General features: G+C 37.2%; 1 protein-coding gene across 4 annotated transcripts in view, besides 1 other annotated feature; it reads right to left on the bottom strand.

Annotated features, from left to right (window-relative positions):
- Nucleotides 1-26,658, bottom strand: part of ARK2N (arkadia (RNF111) N-terminal like PKA signaling regulator 2N) — a 93,440-nt gene that overhangs the window by 24,538 nt on the left and 42,244 nt on the right. For 2 of the 4 annotated variants that reach the window (XM_011525822.3, NM_145055.5), the window contains exons 2-3: nucleotides 25,860-26,644; nucleotides 2,268-2,450 (exon numbers count right to left, since the gene is read on the bottom strand). In XM_011525822.3, the coding sequence (XP_011524124.1) occupies nucleotides 2,268-2,450; nucleotides 25,860-26,574 (898 nt within the window). In that variant the 5' untranslated portion in view covers nucleotides 26,575-26,644. The remainder of the gene's footprint in view (nucleotides 1-2,267; nucleotides 2,451-25,859; nucleotides 26,645-26,658) is intronic. The other 2 variants (XM_017025555.2, NM_001008239.3) reach the window with 1 other exon arrangement.
- Nucleotides 22,045-22,245: a silencer, noted in NCBI's record as "peak3131 fragment used in MPRA reporter construct". NCBI's record gives its function as "represses an SCP1 promoter by STARR-seq MPRAs in K562 erythroleukemia cells {active_cell/tissue: K562}" and the evidence as "EXISTENCE:reporter gene assay evidence [ECO:0000049][PMID:32103011]".

The raw sequence follows: 26,658 nt of genomic DNA, 5'->3' as shown, positions 1-26,658 counted from the left end.
CTTGAATCTGAAAATGTGAATGCCATCCCAAAAGCTAAACTTTAATGATATTTTAAAACCGCAAACTTTGCATTATTCGGTCAAGTCATAAGAAATGGCTGATTTTTTGTAGGTCAAAAAGTCAAATATTAACAATTCCATACGGTTCAATCTAATATTAAGAATTCTGCATATGAAGAGCAAAACGTTGGTAATCATTCATTTTTTACCCCAAAACTTTACCATAAAATGGTCTATATTTAACGGCAAGACTCAGAAAACAGAGAAATAAAACTGAAGTGGAATGGATGACTTAATTGCCAAAGGATGAAAAACAAAGATAAACCATCTAATATACAAATTACAAGGCTGGGTGCAGTGGTTCACGCCTGTAATCCCAGCACTTTGGGAGGCCAAGGCAGGCGGATCATCTGAGGTCAGGAGTTCCAGAGCAGCCTGGCTAACATGGTAAAACCCCATTTCTACAAAAAATTAGCCAGGCGTGGTGGTGCGCGCCTGTAATCCCAGCTACTCAGGAGCCTGAGGCAGGAGAATCGCTTGAACCCAGGAGGCGGAGGTTGCAGTGAGCTGAGATCGCGCCATTGCACTCTGGCTTGGGCAACAAGAGCGAAACTCCATCTCAAATAAATAAATAAATAAATAAATAACTTAGAAACACATATTGTACAAAATGTGGCCAAACTACTTTCCACTGATATAAAGCATTATTACTTCTTTTTTCTTTTTTGGGGGGATACAGTCTAGTTTTGTCACCCAGGCTGGAGTGCAGTGGCACAATCTTAGCTCACTGCAACCTCTGCCTCCCAGGTTCAAGCAATTCCACAGCTGAGATTACAGGCGCCCACCACCACGCCCACCACCACACCCATCACGCCCAGCTAATTTTTGTATTGTTAATAGAGACGGGGTTTCACCATGCTGATCAGGCTGGTCTTGAACTCCTGACCTCAAGTGATCCTCCCACGTCGGCCTCCCAAAGTGCTGGGCTTACAGACGTGAGCCACTGTGCCCAGAAGCATTATTACTTCTTTTCAAAGTATTTGTATTAATACATATTAATAAATCCTTAAAAGACACTTGTTGGGCAAAACAAGGATTTATACATATAAAAACTGAAGTCCAGAGGAGAAACAACTGGTCCAAGGACAAACAGGCAGCAGTTACCAGTCAAAAAAAATCAAAACTAAATTCAGGTTCAGTTCCAAAATTAGCTACAGTAAATCAATCAGGTCAACAAACAAGTGATTTTTCTGTAATTCCAATCAAAGATTATGAAAGGAATAATTTAAGACAACAACAATCAATGGAGTTCTGTCTCAATATAAAAAGTTCTAAACTATAACTCATTTTTTTGTAAAACTCATTTTTCATAAAAATAACTTTAGGTAGTGATTAAACTATTAGATTAACTCATAAAACCAATGCATTTATAAATTAACTAGAAAACTATAATCTTTCAGCAACACTGAAGAAATTATACACTGCATAAGCAGTCTCTCAATCCCCTTCTCTTCTTAAATGTTCAGTGCTAGTATTTTCACAACAACAACAAAACAAGGTTTAAATTAGAATGCTGAAAGAAACTTTTGAAGAAAATATTGAAGAAGACTTGGAGGTATTGTGAAAGTTTTTCAAAGGTAACAGCAGTGGATTTTTTAGTGAATAAATACCACCTTAAAGAATAATCACAAAACTAAAAAAATGTAAGACAGGGACAGAGATTTTTTTTCCTGAGCTAACAGAGACAGAAACTAAAAGAAAGGAGTTAGAAAAGACAAATGAGAACTTACTGACGAGGAATTAACAGGGTCACTCCACAGCAAGAAGCACAAGAAACAGCGGCAGCGCTGTGTATGAACAGCCAGCCCCACAGGGAGAGATTCAACGATTCCCTATCCAAGCTGCAAGGTCACTACCCAGAATTAAAGTGAGAGAAAGAACTGGCCAAAGAATATGAGCATATCTGGGTCATTTTTGCAAATATTGGGCATTTTTAATCCAAGAAATATGCCTACTGAAACCTACCAATACCTACAATTAATGTCTTAAATGCTCTTATTTCTACTTCCTTCTGAGTAGGAAAGATGAATGACAAGCTATCCAAATTGTTTCAGGTATAAATGGCAGCCTGGATAGTCACAACCAATCATTCAATGCCAGATGTCTCTGGTATGACCTGTTCTCCTCATCAGGGTCCACTACAAGGAAAACAGCTCCAGGACACATGCATATTACACCGTTAGAGAAGGGGGATGGGGAAGACCAACCTGCCTCTGCATTCAGCTCCTCTAGAAGCCCGCTGGTCCTCCAGGTAGCTCCTGTGTCCTGGCCGCCTACAGAATTACTGTGCTCTTGAACTACTGCAGCCGCCAATAAATTGTCCACATTTACCACTTCTGGGTCAGAGTTGGTGTCAGACATATCATAATGAGCTACAACTGGAGGTCCATCTAGGGAGGAAAGAAAATGTATACTTGTATCTAACGTGTGGGGTGAAAAATACTTCTGAAACTAGTAAGAGCCCTCTAATGTCAGTTGCCTTCATTATTCTATCTCATCAGAAAAGCTGCACTTTATAGATCTAATATTTTGTACAAAATGTGAAAGTGAAAAAGATAATCCAAGCTTACAAAGATGATGGACACATTTTGGAAGGAGGAAAAGGAGTGTTACTATGAAGAACAGAAGACAAGACTATACTCAACAATGTTACACTGAATTCCTGTCATACTTTTAAAGAGCAAGATTAAGAAAAAAAGGATGACTCCACAGAGAAAGTGGAACTGATTTCTTAAAGGAAAAAACTGATGCAAATTATTAAAACCCAATTTATATTTTTTAAAAGAATGAATCTAGTTCTTTCTCTTACTGGGTAATATAAAAAGTCTCTAGTAGATTCAGAAAAGAAAATCAAATATATTTTCCTATGTCCTAAAGAAATAAGGTTAACACTAGAGCTCTGTTTGACTAACATATCTATTTCCAGTAAAGTCCTTTTATAAAAACAGGGATGTTATACACTTTATGACATTCTGTAAAAAGACAATACAACAAATCCATTTTCAGGATTTTGCTTTGGATATCTTATGAGGGATATTTCTATTTCCTTTTCCTTAAGAAAGACAACCAGCTCATACTCCAACTAAACAATATGCAATCTTATGGGTGATTTTACAAGAAAATATTGAAGTTCTTACTGGAAGAGGACCCTTCCACCCTCAAATCCCCCTAACTGGCTGAAAAAGGCAGCTGAGTTTCAAAGTAAATTAATTACACTGCAGCAATTCATGCTAAAATAAGTCAATATTCATGCTTGTAGAATAGATACATGCTTTAAAATGCTAATTCTACCCCTTTTTTAAGAAAAACGTTAACAGCAAAAAGCAAACATAAAGTTTTCCTTCAAGTAAGAAATCCCTCTACTACCCCTATTTTAATATAAAGCAGAAATAAACGAATGCTGTTTTCTCCCCCAAAGGCTATTTATGAAGCGCAAGCAAACTATTTCCATTAAGGTTTTTAAGATATCATCCAACAAATGAATATTAAACACACCTATTTTATGAAACTCTTGACTATGAAGGAATGCATCTGTGCCAATGAATCATAAAAATGTAACACAATGAAGTATTACTATTTTAATACAAATATCCATTGTGTCAATTGTCACTGAACAAAAACACACTTTGGGTAGTGATCCCTTAAAACTAAACTACCAAACCACAGGTTTATGTAGTAATATTTTTTAAATAAAAAATGACCAAACATAAAAGTAAATGAGTTGTTAGGTGCCACTGTATAAAGAACAGACATGTCACAATATGAAATTCTGACGATCATGACAACTTTAGTTGACTACTTAAAAATAATTTCCAGATCCCCTTAAGGGGTAAATCAAGTTCAATGACCATAAAATTCAACAGTGTGGCCTTGGTATCAGTTGGTAATTGATTTTAGTTTAAATAGCAAGAAAATGATTCGTGTTTCAGGTTTTTCTTTTCTAAAAAAAGAAAAGAAAGCTGCAATATTCAATGGCGTTCTCGTCAGAGTTCAAAATGATTATTATGGAATCAAGATACTGTGTGATGTCCAAATACTTGGATACAGAAGATATAAGGGCCAAGTACAATATTGACTATTTGACCATATGTTCTATTTTTTAAGGGCTTTTTCTTAGGTGTTTGTACTAAGTTATTTTAGTGAGTTATTTTAAAATTTATATGACTAATACCATTCAGAGCCTCTTGCCCTCATATTCTCCACCCCTACCCCCAAATTGAGGCAACAGGTCAACAGTCAAGTCAAAATTGTACCACTCCTACATGTATAATCATGCAAAAAAGTATAAGTGTATACATGCAGAGTGACATCACCTACCCATGAAAATAACTCGTCTGAAAGTCTTCATCAGTAGGAAATACAAGCATAAACTTGTTATCTGGCTTCATTCTTGTTTCTTCCATATTTCCAAACAGCACACCTTATAACTTAGCTTAAATTTAGTATTCATCATAAACAGAGACAGCAATATTTTCATATATTACACTTAAAATTGAAAATAAATTATGATCACTGTCATTTTTCATTTTCAATATATTCAAACAATGACAAGTCAATACTATATAAACTTCAGTAAAATAATGAAATGGTTGTCCTTCCAACTTCATCTTCCAACAAGAAGCCACAATTAAGGATCTTGTGTTCCAAGGTCATTTTACACTATCATTAGGAAACCAAAATTAAGTAAGATTTGTTTAAAGCACTTGGGGCCAGGTGTGCTGGCTCACGCCTGTAATCCAAGTACTTAAGAGGCCAAGGCAGATGGATCACTTGAGATCAGGAGTTTGAGACCAGCCTGGCCATCACAGTGAAATCCCATCTCTACTAAAAATACAAAAAATTAGCTGAGTGTGGTGGCGCACACCTGTAATCCCAGCTACTTGGGAGGCTGAGGCACGAGAATCACTTGAACCTGAGAGGCAGAGGTAGCAGTGAGCCGAGATCGTGCCACTGAACTCCAGCCTGGGCAACAGATCAAGGCTCTGCCTCAAAAAAAAAAAAAAAAAGCACTTGGCCTCAGGATTTGCACTCTGAGCTACTATACAAATATTAGCTAACTTATGGTAACAATTTGTGATATTCTTTTAAAATGTGATTCTTGCTATACAGAAGTAAATGACAGGTAAGATTCTGCAGTTATTTTATCTGCTTTTTAAAAGAAATATCTCTTGAAGGGAAAAAAAAATCACTAGGGAGGAACTAGGAAAATTCAGCACATTATTAACAGAAGCTGACTGAGCATGGTGGCTCACACCTATAACCCCAGCACTTTGGGAGGCTGATGCAGGTGAATCACTTGAGGTCAGGAGTTTGAGACCAGCCTGACCAACATGGTAAAACCCCGTCTCTACTAAAATTACAAAAATTAGCCGGGTGTGGTGGTGCGTGCCTGTAATCCCAGCTACTTGGGAGGTGAGGCAGGAGAATCACTTGAACCCAGGAGGCGGAGGTTGCAGTGAGCTGAGATCACACCACTGTACTCCAGTGTGGCCAACAGAGCAAGATTCCATCTCAAAAAAAAAAAAAGCAAAAAACAAACAACAACAACAACAACAAAAAAAAAACAGAAGCTGCTATCTATTTGACTCTATCAGTTCATTATAGGATAGAATAAACACGGGGATACTGCCCTTGCTCTGACATGATTATTCCTCTATGCTACTAAAACAACTGCATTGCTACAAAGAGACTGTTTTGACTTTCAAAAACATCAAAGTAATTACTTCAAATAAAGTTATACATGAAAACATTTCCAATTTAAGATTCAGTCATTAACAGAGGCACATTCCATCCATGCTTACAACATTTAAGTTATCCAAGCTGCACATTCTCCCATCTGCCAGCTCTGATGTCTGTCACAATCTTAAAACATAAATTTCTAATATTGAACTTACTGGTTTTTCTACAATCATTAAAAGCATCTTTCTCTAGAGGTAAATGTAACACATCTGTGTTAAATAATTAATAACCATTCAATCTGTGGTTAACTCAGGTGCTATTTCTCCTCCTGATCAAATTCTTTTGAAATGTTTGCTGTTACAATCACAACACAAGAAAAGTTAAAGGTCAAAAACCCACGAATGGCTGGGCACAGTGCCTCATGCCTATAATCCCAGCACTTTGGGAGGACGAGGCAGGAGGACTGCTTGAGCCCAGGAGTTCGAGACTAGCCTGGGCAACACAGCAAAACCCCATTTCTACTATTAAAAAATAATAACGATAAAATAAAATTTTAGAATTTTTAAAAAATCTACCAACTACTTTTTATTTAAAAACATCAAGTCATCCATTTTATGCTAGAAATGGATTTGTACTGTCTCACTAAGCTTCTATCCTATAATAAATAGGTTCGAACTTTTCAAATACCAAAATATAGAAGTATCTGTGTTGTCACATATTCCTGATACAGTGAGGTCTACCCTCTTATGACCTTAAGCCTTCTTCGTTGTTGCCATCAAATGTTTAATTTTACGAATTAGTTTCCTTTTCAAGTATGTTCTAAATCTCATTAGAAAATTTGAATCACAAAAACAAATCAAAACAAAACCTAACTTTTCCTTTACTGTTTATCCCATGACAAATTCCCCTTTCCAGGTTTGACAATCAGAAGCACAAGATTTTAAAACTAAACAAACACTACTCTCATTTTACAGATGAAAATTTGAGTCCTAATTAGGTGAAACCACAATAGACTATAATTGTTCTCATTGTTGAAGGAAAGAAGAATATACAGGATGAGACTGGTAGCAGCATAGGAAGTACAGATTTTTGGCAGCAGACACAAGTTAAAGCCTTGCCTACTCTCTCTTAGCTACATAGACCCTGGTAAACTATTTCACTCCTCAGTGTCTTCACGGAGTTATGGTGAGGGTTAAAGAAGACGTTAACAAAGAACACAAAAGCAATTTAAATATTGGTCCACTGCCCTACCTTTCCATTATACTTAGCACCTGCCCTATTTTGTTGTTTGTTTGCTTACTTTTGCATGTATACTCTGCTGTACACCACTGGCATGCAAGAAGCTCTGAGGAACATCAGTGCCTAGGCCAGTGCCTCATGTTGGTCATAGATGAACCCAACTCGGTAAGTAAATGCTTTGGCTAGGATTCATAGTTGAGTAAGGTCATCACAAATGTGACTTTTGTATTTTTGTTTGAAGTGAAATATCAGCTTGCGTGTATTCATAGAAAAATGTTTCAAAGCCAAATGGAAATTGCTCTGGATTAATCTATATTTAGCATCATCTTGCCTACAAGAGCACCCCCACTAACACAAGTGTTGTCACTCTCTCATTATGAACTCTAAATCTAGGAAACAGGAATAATTCTTGTAACCCAGAGACACATGGGACTATCATTCCCCCCTCCCTTTCTATTGCTAAGTCTAAGGCACAAGGAAAGGTGGGGCAATGGACAAATACATGGTTGGCCCCTTTGACCCCCATTTCAATGTCTATGCAGCCATAGTAATATACAATAAAGCGTAGAGGAAATTCCCTTCCTCCTCTTTGCCATACCTAATCTTGCCAATCTCCTCACTAAGAGAAGAAAAAAAATCTGTCTTGTTGCTGTCAAAAGACCCTATCACAGGCCCTTTGATGGCCTAGGCCCGGTTCTGTTATCCACACAACACCAAGAGAAAGAAGGAAGGGGTAAACATCATACTTAGCCTCAATCCAGACAGTGAAAAGCAAAAAATCTTACACCTTATCTAGCCAAGGAATCTAAATAGGGGGAATAAGGTGTGGGCATGAGGGACTGAGGGAAAGAGGCAAACCTCAAGAGCTACAGAAGGAAATTTGCATTTTAATACTCAAGACCTACTCAAGAAAAAAAAAAAAGCAGTTTTATTACACATCAGAATATTTACCAAGATGAAAATGTATATTTACAAATGAGGCCGGGCACAGTGGCTCACGCCTGTAATCCAGCACTTTGGGAGGCCGAGGTGGGTGGATCACTTGAGATCTGGAGTTCGAGACCAGCCTGGGCAACATAGTGAAACCCCCGTCTCTACTAAAAATACAGAAATTAGCCCAGCAGAGTGGCATACGCCTGCAGTCCCAGCTACTCGGGAGGCTGAGGCAGGAGAATCACTTGAACCTGGGAGGCAGAGGTTGCAGTAAGCCAAGATTGCGCCACTGCACTCCAGCCTTGGCAACAGAGCAAGACTCCATCTCAAAAAAGAAAGAGAAAAAATAGTAATAAAAATACCAATCATCGCTTCTCGGCCTTTTAACTAAGATCAAGTGTAAAAATATCAATCAAGAAAATAGAAAATACATGCAGAATAATTTGAAAAGAAAGCAGTCATTTTCAAAACATCTCTTAGAAAAGAAGAATTTCATCAACAAAAGATAAAAATCTATAAAGGGCCATTTCCAGAAAAAAGCCTTAAATACCAAAAACTACATGTGTATTATTTTCTTCAGAATAACATCAGAAAATTATTTCAGTAAAAGGAAAAATGTCTAAGATAGGGCTACATGGAAACGAAATGCAGCAATATGCACTGAAACTTTGTTTCGGAATTAAGTCGTTTTTAAAATAAAACCAAATGAATGTATTTTGTACTTTTTCCATTATACTCAATTATTAAAAATTTAAACTTTTTATTATAAAGTTTCCAAGATGAAAATAAGATTTTAAGGATTACATTTGTCCTTATACTGGTAAATGTTACATCATTTTGTCCACCCAGGAAAGCTATTTATGATATTCATGAAGGGTTTACCATTTTGAAAAGATCAAAAGAGGTAAAAGCAAAGATCCAAGATTATCAGAGTAATGGAAAAGCTGATCAAAAGAAAAAACAATTTAATGTGTCACCACTAACTATAAAGTTATGAAGCCTCTGATTCAAGTGGGGTTATTTGGAAGATAACTCAGGTAATTCATCTGGATATTTAAGAGAAGCTATAAATACAGAAATGAGGCACCTGAAGAGGTCACCATCTTTCAATTTATCTATTTCAGGGACAAATCCATGACCTACTGCTTTGAGGATTTAGATCCATAGATAAAAAAACTAAAATATCTGTACTACATACAGCAAGAAAGAGCACAAAATTTAGATATATTAGCCACATCCCTATGTCTATGTACCCTGCTAAAGAGTCATCCATTCCACATTCTAGCCTTTTGATTTCTCCTTGAATCAGTCTAAATTTTGCTATTTTTCCAAATATCCATCAATTTTTAATAGGACAGTTTAGTAGGACATATAGTTTAAAGAAAAAGAATCTTGACTTTTTATGTTCACAGTGGTATTCTTTTTTTCAATTACCAAAAAAACTAAAAATAATCTGCCAAATATGCAAAATCTATTGTTATATTAACTAGAAACTAATACCATTTATTTCATTACAGAAAAGCAAGTTTCTTGATTCAGGAACACCTAATGTGAATTAACTGGTAGGGAACCACATAACCCCATCCTCAACAGAGTAACAGGAAACATTTCTTTTTCAAAATTTTTATTCATCTAGGTTACATGTCAAATGCACAGTGAGGAAAAGGATATTAAGAAAATGCAATAAAATAAAAACAGTAATTTCATAACATTCTTCCCAAATCTTAAAGTTATATTAGGAATAAGACTTAATTGCCATAGAATACACTTCTTTGTGGATTATTCCTTCACTTTTTATGACATCTTCTATTTTACACTGTGGTAATTTAATACAACATGAGAATATCTACTCAATACTAGCAAACAAACAGTTTGGTTGCAACTTCCACTAACTTTCCTAAACTTCAGAGGAAATAAAAATAGAAATCGGGGGAAAAATGAGTAAAGAAACTTGGAAGTTATTCCCTGTTACTTACAATTCACAATCTCGTAACTTCTAAACAAATTAAAATGACATGTTTTTTATCTGTACTAGGATTAAGGGCATATGGTATTTTTGAAGAGGATTTTGAGAAAAAAAATTTACTGAAATTGTTTTGACACTGTATTTTCTGACATGTGGCATTCCACAAAATCTTTTTCATTTCACCCTCACTGTACTATTTAAATAATTTTTTAAAAGGGGAGATGAAAATCAACATAAGCTAAATAAAATATAAAAGGTACAATTAATTTAAAAGGCTACCTTTTTGTAAGATAACTTGCCCATAATTTGCTATTTTAAACAAATGATAACACAAAGCCTGTTTGCCATCTTTCTTATAACATTCATGTAACTGTATACCTTTAGGCAAAGTCAGCTATATGTTAAAAATAAAAATTACCAGTAATATCAATTTAGGGTACTTTGGTTAAAAAAGAATTCACTATATTGTTTCTTTCATTAACAAGCAGACTTAATACACTTTAAATCATTCTGCATACAACTTTTAAGAAATAAATCAGACTGAGCGCTGTGGCAGCACTCTGGGGGGCCAAGACGGATGGACCACCTGAGGTCAGGAGTTCGAGACCAGCCTGGCCAACATGGTGAACCCCTATCTCTACTAAAAATACAGAAAATTAGCCGGGCATGGTGGCAGGCGCCTATAATCCCAGCTACTCGGGTAGCTGAGGCAGGAGAATCACTTGAACCTGGGAGGTGGAGGTTGCAGTGAGCCGAGATCATGCCATTGCACTCCAGCCTGGGCAACAAGAGCAAAACTCTGTCTCAAAAAAAAACAAAAAACAAAAAACAAAAAAAAAAAGAAAGAAAAATCGTATGTAAATTGAGATATACCTAGACCCAGAGACTCTTGCTGTTAAATCTTAGTAACAGCAGGGAATGACAAAAGCAATACTCAAAATAAATTAGTTACTGTATATTCTTCTATTCGGTCTGCTAGTGAGATTTAAAAAAAAAAAAAAAAAAAAAAAAGCCCCAAACCTTTAATCATTTTTAAAAAGACATTTTTTCTCAAGCTTAATTACCATAACTAGGTTTATATGTAGGCAACTTTTATTTTCTTACATACCTTTAGGAAGCAATAAACAGGTATTATATTAATAATCTGAATCCATTCGAAATCACTGTAGCAACTGTACAGTTATCTGCCTCCAGCCATTTGTCAAGTCTAATATTAATGAAATTCAGTTACTTCAGAATTCTGAAGATGGGTACACACATGCATACACACATCCCTGAAACCAGGCTAATTTCTCTTAGTAAAAATCCATACAAACAAAAAACAGATAACACTTTCCCTTGGAGCCCTCCAAATAATTTGTATGCTACTCCTAATTTTTAAAAAAGTAAAACTTCATGTAAAATATTAAGCCTTAAGATTTTAACTTGACCTTGTTGGGCTCTAAATTAAAATTTTATGTGGGCTTTAAAAATTATGCTCAATTTTAATAATGTACAAAAAGTACAATCAATATGATTAAGAGAGTTATTATTGTCTAATAAGTGGCTCAAATAACCAGATCACTCTAATCCGCTGGTTGAATTCTCTTAAGATGATTAGATATCTAATGTCCTAGGACTGAGCTAGCACAAACTAGGCAGAAAGCAGGCTGTAGCTAGATTATCAAAAACACATTTACCTTTAGTGAGAGGATAATGGCCTCTTAAATGCCAACTAAAAAGAAACACTAAAAGGAAGTATCAACATGTAACAACCAGTAATAAAATTATAACTGTGGTAGTTAAAACTATAATTTGTTTCCTAACATTTCTCAAGTTATTCTTTTTACAACATTCGGCGATTTTTTAAATGAAGTAACTTTTTTAAAAGTCTGCAGCTTAATCCTTTTAATTCTCTCCCATGAAAACAAGAGAAAAAAATTATCTGATAGATTAGACAAAGGGAAAATTCCATATGCACATATTAGAGAGATACAATAGTCCGGATATGGGATTTTATTCTTAAATAAAAAAGCATTTCAACCATTTCTGGATTAGTGTTGTAGGTTGAAAGAGATTTCTTTCCAGCATTAACCCTTCATAGAGTACAAATAAATACAAACAGGACATGGTCCTTAACCTTCTTAAAATTCTAGGAAAATTAAGGGAATTCAGAGGAAACGAAGGGAGGGCCACTAGGGACTTAAACAATAGCTACATAAAAATGCCGTCATGTAATCCAAAAGTAATTCCCACTTATTACTATTATTAGTACTATACATGTAATCTTGAGAATACAGACTGCCTCAGGGAAAGAGAATGCAATAACCTACACTAGTCATGTAAAAAATGTACATATTAAAACTACTTCACAGGCCAGGCGCGGTGCCTCACGCCTGTAATCCCAGCACTTTGGGAGGCTGAGGCAGGCAGATCACCTGAGGTCAGGAGTTTGAAACCAGCCTGGCCAGTATGGTGAAACCCCATCCCTACTAAAAATACAAAAATTAGCCGGGCCAGTTGTGGGCACCTGTAATCCCAGCAACTCAGTAGGCTGAGGCAGGAGAATCGCTTGAACCCAGGAAGTGGAGGTTCAGTGAGCCAAGATCGTGCCATTGCACTATAGCCTGGGCGACAAAGCGAGACTCTGTCTCAAAAACAAACAAACAAACAAACAAAAAACACTACTTCACAAGGCGAGGCGTGGTGGCTCGTACCTGTAATCCCAGCACTTTGGGAGGCCGAGGCTGGGGGATCCCTTGAGCTTAGGAGTTTAAGACCAGCCTGGGCAACAGAGCAAGACCCCACCTTTGCAAAAAATAAGAAAATTAGCCAGACATGGTGGCACACATTTGCGGTCCCAGCTACTAGGGAAGATCACTTGAGCCTGGGAGGTTGAGGGTGCAGTGAGCTGTGATCGTGCCACTGCACTCCAGCCTGGGCAATAGAGCGAGACCTCATCTCAAAAAAATTAAAAAAACAACACCAGCACTTTGGGAGGCTGAGGCAGGCGGATCATGACGTCAGGAGATCGAGACCATCCTGGCTACAGTGAAACCCTGTCTCTACTAAAAATACAAAAAATTAGCCGGGCGTGGTGGCAGGCACCTGTAGTCCCAGCTACTCAGGAGGCTGAGGCAGGAGAATGGCATGAACCCGGGAGACGGAGCTTGCAGTGAGCTGAGATCGCGCCACTGCACTCCAGCCTGGACGACAGAGCGAGACTCTGTCTCAAAAAACAACAAGTACTTACCATATTGACACTTTTTTAAATGTCTGTAATATAAAAACAAAGTATGTTGAAAGGGGAATTTTTTAATTGCACTACCTGGAAAAGGTGTAACCACTTTAAAGCAAAATCTATTTTTTTTTTTCAAAACAACACTCCTTCAGACAGCAATGTATTACCTTCAAAGCACTCTGCAAAAACTGAAAATCAAGATAAAAATTTTTCATATATATGATTCTGTTATAAATTACTCCTAAAGTTAAACTCTCCAAACCACAGAATGTCAAATTTTACTTTAGGAAAAATTTTTAATATTTTGGTATAGGTTCTAAGAATTTAATCAGTGTATTCTGGCATTCCTTATCTTTCTGCCAAAACTTCTTTTTCTTCCTTTCCTCAAAATTTTGTAGAAAAGGCTTTCCAAAATTATTAGTGTTCAACACCTTTTCAAATATTCAAAATGTTATTCTTACCTTGAATATAACTATTAATACCTATGTTTTAGGCCAGGTGCGAATCCCACAGAATCTCAGCACTTTGAGAGGCCAAGGTGTGCAGATCGCTTAAGCCCAGGCGTCTGAGGCCAGCCTGAACAACATAACAGAACCCCGTCCCTACAAAATATATAAAAATTAGCCAGGTGCTAGTCCCACCTATTTGGGAGGCTGAGGCGGGAGGATTGCTTGAACCTGGGAGGCAGAGGTTACAGTGAGACAAGATGGCACCTCTGCACTCCAGTGTAGATGACAGAGTGAGACCCTATCTCCCAAAAAATAAAAAAGGCTACCTATGTTTGTTAATTCCATTCCACTGAAATTTTTTTCTTAAAGGCAAAAAAAAATCTACAGAGCTCTTGCCTGATTATTCAATAACAATAAAAATCAGAATGGATCCAGTCAATACAATACTAGCAATAAGTTGTCTATGTTATTCTTAAAAGATTAACCTTTTCTATCTTAAAATGCATTTCAAAGCATGCTTAATATATTAATTATCGTATCATAAAACAAAAAAGAAGCCTGTTAAGTGCTTGAAGCAGTTTACACATGCATAGAAAAGTAGTCCTTAACATGATGAAATTAAATTAATATTTTCTTACATCTAAAAATCCATGTCTAATAAAAATCTGGGTTTCCAGGAAGAAGGTGAAGACAGAACTTCCCTGAAAACACCTAAACTTCAAGTAAAGACTGTAGATTCATTAAAATTCAGTCAGTCATCCAAAACCAATATGCTCTTCCTGTTGATGTAAAACTTAATTTTAAAAAAAATCTGTTTGAGGAAATAGTTAACCAATGTTGCACTATAATTTCAGAGGGAAACCCATCAGTTATAATAAACTCATATATTTTATACTGAAAAATCATACTAACATTATTTATTGTAAGTTGCTTGGTGTTCAAACCTTACCTCTACTGGTCAAAATTAAGTTCAGAAAATCTAAAAATCATTACACACAAAAAAAAGAGATCGGCCAGGCACAGTGGCTCACGCCTATAATCCCAGCACTTTGGGAGGCTGAGGCAGGCAGATCACCTGAGGTTGGGAGTTCAAGACCGGCCTGACCAACATGGAGAAACCCCATCTCTACTAAAAATACAAAAATTAGCCAGGCATGGTAGCACATGCTTGTAATCCCAACTACTTAGGAGGCTGAGGCAGGAGAATCACTTGAACCTGGGAGGCGGAAGTTGCAGTGAGTCGGGTTCGTGCCATTGCATTCCAGCCTGGGCAACGAGAGCAAAACTCCATCTCAAAAAATGGAAAAAAAAAATGCAGAGACCTCTAGTCATATGTATATATTTATATATGTATCCTTATACAAGGATGTATATATCCCTAAACAAAAACTGAGCACAGAAATAAGCCATCCCCAAAGTTAACTTCCAATTCTCATAAAACCAGTTCTAAAAGGAAAAAAACAAATAAAGCAGTAATTTTTCAATTCAAAACCAGAAAAGGAAAAAATGTGGTTCAGTCTATTACTGGTAATTTACAAGTTACAAATATGTGGATATAGAACTGAATTAAAACAAAGTGGTGACATTTTTTCTGAGTAACGTTCCTAAGAAATATTGAGACATCGAAGATCTTGATTGTTTATATACGACTCTAAATATACCGCCTATACTTCCTCTTAAAAAACACATGCAGAATTACGTTTTTTTCCAAAGTGGCAACTTCATTAAATAAAATGAACCTTTTTCATATTGATGTTATTATAAATGTGAAAGAATAATTTCCTCTCAAAAATAAATCCAGGCCAGGCGCAGTGGCTCATGCCTGTAATCCCAACACTTTGGGAGGTGGAGGTGGGTGGATCACCTGAGGTCAGGAGTTCGAGATCAGCCTGGCCAACATGGTGAAACCCCCATCTCTACTTAAAATACAAAAATTAGCTGGGCATGGTGGCAGGCGCCTGCAATCCCAGCTACTTGGGAGGCTGAGGCAGGAGAACTACTTGAACCCCGGAGGCAGAGGTTGCAGTGGGCCAAGATCCCACCATTGCACTCCAGCCTGGGCAACAAGAGCGAAACTCCATCTCAAAAAAAAAAAAAAAAAAGTAAATCCAGTGGAAAACCCAGTTTTAAAAAACCACTTAGTGTCAGCAAACTTACAAATTCCTATTGAAGACTGTCATCCTAATTTAGCTGTGTCTCACAGTATTACTAGAAATCTTTAAAAGATAAAATGCCAGCATTTACCAATCCCAGGCTGCACATAAAAACATCTATCATGTTGCAAGACCTTCAATCCTGTGGTATTTTCTATCTTTTGACACACTCTATGAGCTCTTTAACATAACTAAGGCCCATTTATTTTTAGTTTGAGGATTGAAAACAAAATTAAACTGGTAGTACATTCATTAATAAACTTAGTCACTAGCAATTTAAAACCCCACCCAATACATACCCTTGATATAGTGACCATTTTATCTTTACCCTCTACAGGTATCCTTTACAACAGAGTACCAGAAATTCCACTGGCTGATGCCTACCAGATTATTGCCTTGGGCACTGAGCTTTAAATTAAAGCTCAAAATAAAAATCCATCTCCATATCAATGAAAAATACTATTTTTCTCATGCATGAAATCAAGCTGCAGTCTAATCTGCTTTTCCTACATTATCTTGCATAGTAGGCACATAGCAAATATTTGCTCAGAAACGAATTGTGTTCTTCCTGCATACAAGTAATACGGAATATAATTCATGAAAACTAGCAACAAATTAGATTATTAAATGACATGTGGAATAATGACACAAAAATGTTCATGGAGTAACTATGATCTTTACAGTTAACTATGAGGTCCCCCAATTAGAAGCAGAAGTCAACAGTGTCTGTAGAGAGTAAGTGCTAAGAGATTCTCAAGGAATTAACCATCTACCTATTTGGGTTCACTAAAATTTTCAGTTTTTTGTTTTATTTATATTTTTGGTAAAAAGCAAGGAAGAGGATGGCTCCCACTATTGTATAAATATGGTTCTATGTTCCCACCATACATAACAAAACTCAAGCTAAAATTTACCAAATTCTGGGGCTTTCTGTTGTGAATACCTAATTTTTAAAAAAGAAACTGTTTACTACTGCAGCTTTTAAAACATCATCAGGGCTGGGCTCGGTGGCTCAAGCCTGTAATCCCAGCACTTTGGGAGGCTAAGGTGGGCGGAGCACGAGGTCAGGAGTTCGAGACCAGCTTGACCAACATAGTGAAACCCTGTCTCTACTAAAAATACAAAGAAAATTAGCCAGGCGTGGTGGCGGGCTCCTGGAATCCCAGATACTCGGGAGGCTGAGACAGGAGAATCGCTTGAACCCAGGAGGCGGAGTTTGCAGTGGGCCGAGATCGCGCCATTGCACTCCAGCCTGCGCGACAAAGCGAGACTTCGTCTCAAAAAAAAACAGCAACATCATCAAAAGAAACTTACAATGGGCAAAAGCATATTATTTCTTACACAATCCAAAACGCAGATTGTCAATACAATTAATTTTGTGATAGATTCAAAGGTTGTTCTGTAATATTTCCATTTCCAGCAACGTTAACTAGAAAATTGCAATTATACATCTTTGGGAACTCTGACATACTGTCAATATTTGGACAAGTCAGGTAAGAACCAAAGGGCTGCTGTGGCAGTACTTGGAAATCAGGCATCTGCCATGTAAGCACTTGATGGGGTGACAGGGAAAATTCTTTGGCCAACTAGTTGCATCTTAGGTCCCCTGGGTTCCAGTAGCTGCTTGTTCTCTTCGCCAGTGTCAAGATGAGTTACCTTTTCCATCCACACGTGGAACTTCTCTGTCTGCCTCTGCATCTTGGAAAAACAGCTCCTGGCCTCTTCTAGGCCACTGCCTGTGCAGTTCCTATCACACAGTACCCCTGTCAAGTAATCCTGTAACTTCCCTGGGCACTCCTTCAGATCCCGCAGCATGACTGAAGGCACCTTTAAAGACACTGAGGCCATTTCATAAAACATTATTGCTTCGGAAATTGTATTTTTATTAAGACACACTTACTCAGGAAAATGACACAAGCATTGCTAAGAAGAGCCTGATAGATCCAGCATTCATAGGCAGTGATTAAATTCATTAATCAAAGTCACTAATTCCAAAAAAATAAAATGACTAACATTATCATTTTTCATAGCTTTAATTTATCTACCTAGCAGCATGTATTCTGTTACTACACAGACTGAATACAACTGACTGAATCTTTAACAGTAGTTTCCAACCTTTGCTGAACAATAAGAACTGGAGTGGCTTAACAAATACCAAAACCTAGGGTGGCTCCAAGTCTTCTAAGATTTGTTTCGGTTTAAGCTCCCCAGGTGATTTTAATGTATGTCCTTAGTTGAGAACCACTACATTCTTGAGTATTTTAACTCCTTTCACTTTAAAATTCTAAAAAGTTGTTTTGTCAGCTGGCCCATACTCAATCATTACACAATCACTCTTAGGTGATGATTCTTATCACACAAAAGATCTGTTTTAATTTTTTTTTAATTCTTATGGAAAACCACAGGAAGGAGATGATACAGAATACCTCTGGGTCAGCTTTTACAAACGCTGGTCTGTGTGAAGTGTTAAAATGCATGCCATACACACACACAAAAAAATGTAGTTAAGTTTGGGATATACTACAAATCACATCCTTCCCCTCTGGAGAGCACATTCATTAATGGCTGAAGTGCCCTGTGGTTTAAAACAAAAGGCATCTGTTAACACATAATCCAGCACTTTCCAAACACCTGAACATGTGTACAACTATTAATACCCAGTAGCATAGTGGTCCAGTTTAGGATATGGCCCCATATATATATAATTTCATCCTTGAACTAGGCTAGATTATCTTTGGTTTGGGTCACCTATAGTTTGGGTCTCTAATAAAATAACTATATTGAACTCTTCATTCTAAGGGACCTAATAAAAATGTTACTTCCTCAGATCATTCTTGACTAAAATAGCTTTTCTACCCCATTCCTAATCTTTATCTCTTATATCCTGCTTTATTATTATTCACATCATATATCCCTACCTGATAACATATGATAAATTCATTTATTGTCTCCTCATGAAAGATTAAGTTCCATGACAACAGAGACTTCTTTCACTGTTGTATCCCCAAAGCCAATGGACTGGGTGCTCAGATACTTGCTGAATAAAAGAATGATTGATGGAATCAACCAATCTTAGCCTTATACCATCAACCTACATCAAGAGTCTTATAAATAATGCTCTTATGAAATGCTCTATTGAGCATTTGTTAAACTAATTTGTGAAAACATGGTTTGCTTTATCACATAGTGGCCTTTTATGAAGATGCAAAGAGAAGTTTCCCCTGTCTCACTATCAAATATAACTGTTTCTCCTAGATAAAAAAGAATGTTTAAATCAGTCAGGCCACCTATTTTCAATGCCTAAAAGGCTGTGAGACAAACATTTAGCCCAGCTCTATCCAGCAAACAAAAACCTCATGAAGTCGGTCACCAACCTCTGCCTAATTTCATAATGTTCCTTTTCCTCTGATTACTCCATCCCCTATGCTGTTTTCACTTTTTAAAAAAGTTTTGTTTATACGAAAACTCCCTCAAGAAGGACATACCTTTCCCCAAAGGTTAGTATGTTTAGCTTATGGAAAAAAAGACTAAATGAAATCTAAAGTTTAACTTCCTTTAAGCCCCATTATAAGTGCTGGGCAAACTTAAGCATAGGACAGGAAATCGGATGGCTCCTTTGATCTGCTTTAGATTCTCGCATTACTTATTTCTCAATGAATACTAAAAATGGGTATTTAAAAGCTGATAATGGTATAAGAACATTTATGCTGGGGGCAGTGAGATAAGTTGTAGCCTCATAGATTCCTACAAGCAATAATCACTGATAAGCAAGACATTTTGAGCCCTTAAAAACAGGAACCACTTACGCATTTATCAAAGCCCACAGAACTTACAACACCAAGAGTGAACCCTAACAGTAAACTACAGACTTTGGGTGATAATGATGTGTCAATGTAGGTTCATAATTGTAACAAATGTCCATTCTAGTGCAGGATGTTGATAGTAGGGGAAGCCGTGGCTACGTGGGAGAAGGGGGTACATGGGAACTCTCTGTCTCCTCTGCTCGATTTTGCTACGAACTTAAAACTGCTCTAGAAGCAAAATCTATTAAAAAACAATGACAAAAAAAGGGACCACATTCTCACCTTAAACACACACATGCTCTTTTATTAACACTAAGATATATCCTATTTTGAGAAAAAGACCTTTTCCTTTTACAAAGTTAATATAGGCACTCACTTCAGAAAATAAGCAGGCCAAAAATAGTATCTTGGTGCTTCAACATGAGAAATTGCCAAAGGATACCCACCAGTAAGACTTCAAAGCTTTTTAATTAACATCATCTAGACCTTGTAGCGTACAGAAAACCACATTTAGACATTGCATGCTTTTCAAATAATCGCTTAAATGAAGTAAAAGAGGGCACTTAATGCTTGTTAATTAATATAGAACTGTGCTGTGATTTATAACTAATGTAATTTCAAAAAAACCAGACTCCACTGTTTAGAACTTGATACCCATTAGCAGTAAGAGAACTTAATTGAACCAGACTACCAGTTTCACAGTGATTTTCAGATACAGGAAACTTAACATATCACTGCTTAACTGAGCGGTTCTGAGCCCTGGCTACTCAGTGTCATCACCTAAGGTCAATCATTTAAAGCTGATGCCTGGGGTCAGACCCCAAAGATTCTGATTGAATGGGGCTAAAGTGGGGTCTGGGCATCAGATGGTTTAAATACCACCCAGCTGATTCTAATACATAGCCAGATTGCAAACCATATGTATTTTACCCATCTGATTTGCATTTACCAATCTGAAAATAGACAGTTTTTACCTGATTATTCTGTGTCAGTGTTTTGTTATCAATGTATTTTGTGAGTCTCTTAAATAGCTACCAAACTACAACCAGATTACAAAAGGCTTAAAATAGGGACATGAGGCTTTTAGCCACTGAAATCCTTTGATATTCAATCTAGGAAAAAGGTCAATTACTGCGCTTCATGGATTCACTATGTGGGTTTGGGATCTTCAACCATGAATCCTCCTCACTGCCTTATATTTAAAATTTGCCAAGCAATTAAACCCCCAAAAGGTTAAAAAGCCTCAAAAATTAGTAAGAAAAAACACGTCAGAAGAAAAATGTGCAAAGAATATGAACAGACTTTACCAAAGGAATACAAATAGCTAAACGTTTTTCAATTTCACTAGTGATCAAAGAAATGCAAATTAACATCAAAATACCTTTTTTTTTTTTTTTAATGGAGTCTTGCTGTCACCCAGGCTGGAGTGCAGTGGCATGACCTCGGCTCACTGCAACATCCACCTCCCAGGTTCAAGTGATTCTCCTGCCTCAGCCTCCCGAGTAGCTGGGACTACAGACGCGCGCCACCACACCCGGCTAATTTTTCTTTTTTTTTTTTTGTATTTTTAGTAGAGATGGGGTTTCACCATGTTGGCCAGGCTGGTCTCGAACTCCTGACCTCAGGTAATCCATCTGCCTCAGCCTCCCAAAGTGCTGGGATTACAGGCATGAGACACCACACCAGCAAGATATCATTCTTCTATCAAATCAGCAAGCTTTTAAAAAAAATTAATATTCAATAGCAAGAATACAATGCATGAACACTCAAGCTCCCAGGTGAAATAAACTTATTTTTGTTTTTGTTTGGATTTTTTTGAGACAGAGTCTCGCTCTGTCACCCAGGCTGGAGTGCAGAGGCTCAATCATGGCTCACTACAGCCTCTGCCTCCTGGGCTCAAGCAATCCTCCCACACCAGCCTCCGGAGCAGCTGGGACTACTGGTACATGCTGCTACACCTGGCTAACTTTTGTATTTCTAGTAGCGATGAGGTTTCACCAAGTTCACCAGGCTGGTCTCAAACTCCTGGCCTCAAATGAACCACCTGACTTGGCCTCCCAGAGTGCTGGGATTACAGGCGTGAGCCATCGCACTCAGCTTAATTATTTTTTAAAAGCAGTATGGCAGTATGGCAGTATGGCAGTATGTGGTCAAGAGCCTTAAGTGTTCATACCCTGAACGTATAACAGCAAAAACTTAAAAGAGCCCAAAGGACCATTAGGGAAGTTATTTTTATAATTAGCTAAATTATTCAAAATCCATATGTTCTAGGGAGAATATTTAGTGTTCTGGTTAAATGCTCAAAATGCAATATTAAGAAGGAAAGGACGACATATGCAATACCCAGACAAATTTTGTTATATATCATGGAAGACAACATATTCAAATGTTAACAAAAGCAGAATTGTGGGTGATTTTAACTTTCTACTTCAAATATTTCTATTTTCAAAAATTTCTACAAAGAATTTGTCACTTAAAAATATTTTTTAAATTTCTAAGCAAGAGTTAACTGATCAAGCATAATAAGTTAATTATCTCTACCAGAGAAAAAAACTATGAGGTAAGATGATAGCTGGTCATGATGCAGCTCACTGCATAAATATGTATGGTGAGTAATGGGTGCTGAGATTTTGTCTTGAAGTGGGGCTGAGCTGGTCTAGCCTGGCTGCATGGATTGAGAATTCAAGTAAACTTAAACAGCTGTCCTCAGTAGCCTCAATGACATTCTCCAAAAGAAATGAGATTTTCAAAGGCAAACAAACCAAGACAACCGACTCTTACCTGCCACGAGGGGTATTATTTTTGGAACTTCGGTGTGAATAAGCATTTAACCACAAAGCAGGTCATTAAAGACAAGACAAGATAAAGCTACCCTGTATGGAGGTCCACTCTGCTAAATATTTATGAAAAACAGTTACTGGAAAAACTTTTCCCCACTGACCATGTACACCGATGCACGTATGTTAGTATGTTCAAAAAATTAACTTTTTCAAACTGAATGAAGGCTAATGTCCATTATTTACATTAAAATCAAAATCCCTCCAACTACAGATTTTATAGAGCTAGTCTCAAAACTGCTTTTACAGAGAAACTGACCCCCCATGAACAGTAATACTCTAATCATAAAACTGCAGAGCATGATCAAAGCACAAAAAGATAATGCATAAGGAAACCACTTGATAATGGCCGGGCGTGGTGGCTCACACCTGTAATCACAGCACTTGGGAGGCCAAGGCAAGCGGATCACAAGGTCAGGAGATCAAGACCATCCTGGCCAACATGGTGAAACCCCGTCTCTACTAAAAATACAAAAAAATTAGCTGGGCATGGTGGCACACGCCTGTAGTCACAGCTACTTGGGAGGCTGAGGCAGGAGAATCGCTTGAACCTGGGAGGCGGAGGTTGCAGTGAGCAGAGATCGCGCCACTGCACTCCAGCCTGGTGACAGAGCAAGACTCGGTCTCAAAAAAAAAAAAAAAGAAATCACTTGATAAAAAGCCTTGATACTCAAGATAACCATCACATAGTACTTTTACATGAATTCACTATAAAATATTATAAATTTACTATAAAATGCCCTTTACTCAACTCTAAGTCTGCCAAATGAAAGTACTGCCAGCATTATTTTGATATGATACCTCCAAACAGATTCTTAAAACATCAATATATTTCCAAAAACTTCAAAGAGAGATGATCTAGTGCCGATACTAAGCTGCCTGTCAGTTAACTGCTAACTTTAAAAAATCGTCATAAACATCTGTTGCCCAGATATCAAACTCAATTAAAGTATGATCATGCACTACACTGGTCTGCATTATTAATTATTTGCACTCTCTAAAAGAATATGCATTAACAGTTACAATTATTTGGCATAACATTTAGGATTAAGGTATTAGGATATCCTAACAGGAATTATTTAGGATAATGCCTTCAACTTTTAAGCTGAGCCCAAACAAAAGCTTATAAAGAGCATTTTCTGAATTACTAAATTGGTTGTACCTTAATGAAAGAGTATGGCAATAATCGGTTTTTACTTTTCCACTTGGTTTCCATTCTGTGTAAACAGCTGAATTAACATTCCGACATCCAAGAGATTCTGTTAGGCCCATCCAGCTTAAGTTCACCTGAATGTCCATGTTGTTGAACTCAAGTCAGTTCATAATTTATCCTACCTTTACAATTTAGGCAACTTTTCGACAACTGCTCTTACTATAAGGTTGAACGTGCCTCCTCTCTTCCCCAAAGTCATAAGGTGACTCAGTAAACTGAAAGATACATCACTGTTACATTAAAAATTCACAATGTCACAATTTTTCAAGAGACAACAATATGGACAATTGAAATGAAATTCCTAATATTTGAACTCTAAGTTGTTCCATTTTTGCTGCTTTGCATAATTCCAGTAAAGATCATTCATACCTGTCTTATGGGAATGGCAGGTATACCATAAGACCTCCCAAAACTGCCAGCACACACACAGGCAGTCACATACAGTGACCCTGTACCTCAATCTACCATTTGATTCTCCAGGATTACCTTAGAAAACTATGTGTATTTTCAAAAGCCACAAAGTTACTAAATGGTGTGAACAATAGAAACCAAACTATAGATTCAAATTAATTTACTTTGGTGTTCAGTTAGTACACAATTCAGAAGAGACAAGAAACAGACACTGGTGTTTTAAGTTTTAAGCAGTGGTCAAGATACTCAATTAGAAAGAAGATTAGGAAAATATGAACAAAGCACATCTAACCTATTTAAGCAAAACAGGGAAAGTGCCTATGAAGACATTTCTCAAGCCACCTTACAATAGGGTTCTGACTTTAAATTTTGTTTACCCACCTTCTTCCTTTCCACAAAAAGGCAAAGTATTGGGGTAGTTACATAAAATCCTGCTTAGTAAGTGGAAGTAAGTATTGTATTAAGAGTTCCATCAAGGTCTTGATTAAGAGGTTAGAAGAGGATATAGGAATGCACAATTTTACAGGTATTAATAAGGTTTTTTTAAAAATATTAATACATGTAAAACTAAAATATATACCTAAAACCTGCCTTAGAACAACCCCAAAGTCTGTTTCTCTCATACATTTAACTGATGAGCTTCATTGAAATCCCCCTCCCGGTAGTTTTATTACAAGGAACAATAGCAAAGGAATCCAATAGAGATATTAAAACAGTAAAAAGCATTTCTAAAGATCGTTTGAGACTCATATTTATATTATATGGACAAGACTTATTATCAGAACTTGAACACCTATAAAGTGCTTTAAAACCAATCATTCTTGTTACTGAATTTATATAAGTTTGGGAAGCTATAGATTCCATTAACCAATATGATTTCTCTTGAAATGTTCTTTGTATATCAGCAATATGCTGTCTTCACATGTAGAAACAGAAAGCTTTCAGAAAACAGGGAGAGAAAAAACATAGTCACCCATAAAACTTTAGAAAACCCAAACTTGCCCCTCTTCAATGTGGCAATAAACAATACTGCCATGACCTATTCAATGCCATACAGTTTACAAAATGTTCCTGATCATATTGTAAGGATCTCTTGGATAATAAGAATTCACTACTTAAGAACCATTCAGATACATCTTTCTTCCACTATGAAATCTCAAGACTGCCTTTGTATTATAGTACACAGTACCAGATGCAATAAGAATGGGGAAAGCAGATTTACCAAATATGTAATAAGTTACAGACCCTTATACCAATGAGAGCTAGAACAAGCGGATTTCTAACAAACTTTTTTAAAACTTGGGGAACTAATGGGAAATTTTTCAGAAAGACATTCTTTTCAACGTGAGGATAGAAAGATTTGTAACAAGGATAACTAGCTTCTCATGCATTGAATATGGGGGAAACACATAAAACTACTGTTTTTGGAGGAAAAATTATTAGAAAACTTTAACAAAAGATAGAATGTGTTATTTCAGACACTATAAGCTCAAGTGCAGTGGCTATATAATAAAGCAAGGTGCCTATTCCTGAGGAGAATGTACTCAGTAATGATGCCGAACAGTGAGTATTAAATCTAAGCAGTGCCAAAAAGGCAATGATTGGGAGTTCAGGTAATGTGTTACAGACAGACTTATGAGAAATTCCATTACTTAAAAATAATCTTGTCCCTATCATTAACCCTTTAATTTTGTTTTTCCTGATGTGCTAAAGTTCACTGGAAACCTCAGAACAGGTTTTATAAATTGGCCATGTCTTGTTAATAGACTGCAGTCTTCAAATTTACACAGAGCTGCAGGTCTCCTGGATTTTTTCAAGTGTCACTCATCTAACTGAACCTGATAGCTGAGAAATGCCATCAGGTACTTTACAGTCAGTTTAAAAAACATCCTCTACCTGGTATCTCTGCAGTGATTGTCTTGCTGCTCCCTGAAACCTCTTCATCATCATCTGATGAGCTCGTGCTTGAGTCACAAGTCAGGTCACTATCACTGGTACTACTGTCCTGCAGCAGGTTATATTTCTTCCTTGCAGCAGCCTCCCGTTTCTGCCTCAGTAGCCTGATCCTCTCCTTGTGCTTTTGGCTCCGATGACCTTTAACCTTGGCGACTCGGCCATTCTGTTTATCACTGGATTGCCGGTTTTTCTTGGCAGCCATAGTGGAAGTTTCACTTTCAGATCGGGACCGCCTAGACTTGCGCCCAACTGTGGCACCAGACACTCCTGAAGGGTCTCCTTCTACCGCCGTTTCTGCCTGAGAGGGTTCATTCTCTTCTGCGGAAGACAACGTATCTGAATCAGCCAGGTGACCACTAGAGGAAGGGGAAAGCATGCAGTGATTAGAGGAGTCACTCTCATAAACTCGGCCAGTTGTAGGCTTGTCACTCTCTGTGGATGCTAACTGAGACTCAGAAGAGTCCCTTCTCAGTTCCATCAACAAGCAGGGCATTGAAGAAATAACTGTAGAATCCGCTACACCATCTTTCTGAACTTGAGATTCCAGTTCTACAGATCCATCTTCCTCCTTGGCTGTCTCTTGTTCAGATGCTTTTGGTGGGGCTTCGGACTCAATGAGTTCTTCAACTTTTCCCACTGCCTCCTCCATCTTCATTTCAGAATTTCAAGTTAAATCATGGAGTAGAGTCTAGGAAATGATATCAAAGATGCAACAGGAAAGCAACCTGTACAAAAACAC

Source organism: Homo sapiens, chromosome 18 (genome assembly GCF_000001405.40).
Source record: "Homo sapiens chromosome 18, GRCh38.p14 Primary Assembly".
NCBI lineage: Eukaryota > Metazoa > Chordata > Mammalia > Primates > Hominidae > Homo > Homo sapiens.
This window is presented reverse-complemented; position numbering and strand designations above follow the sequence as displayed.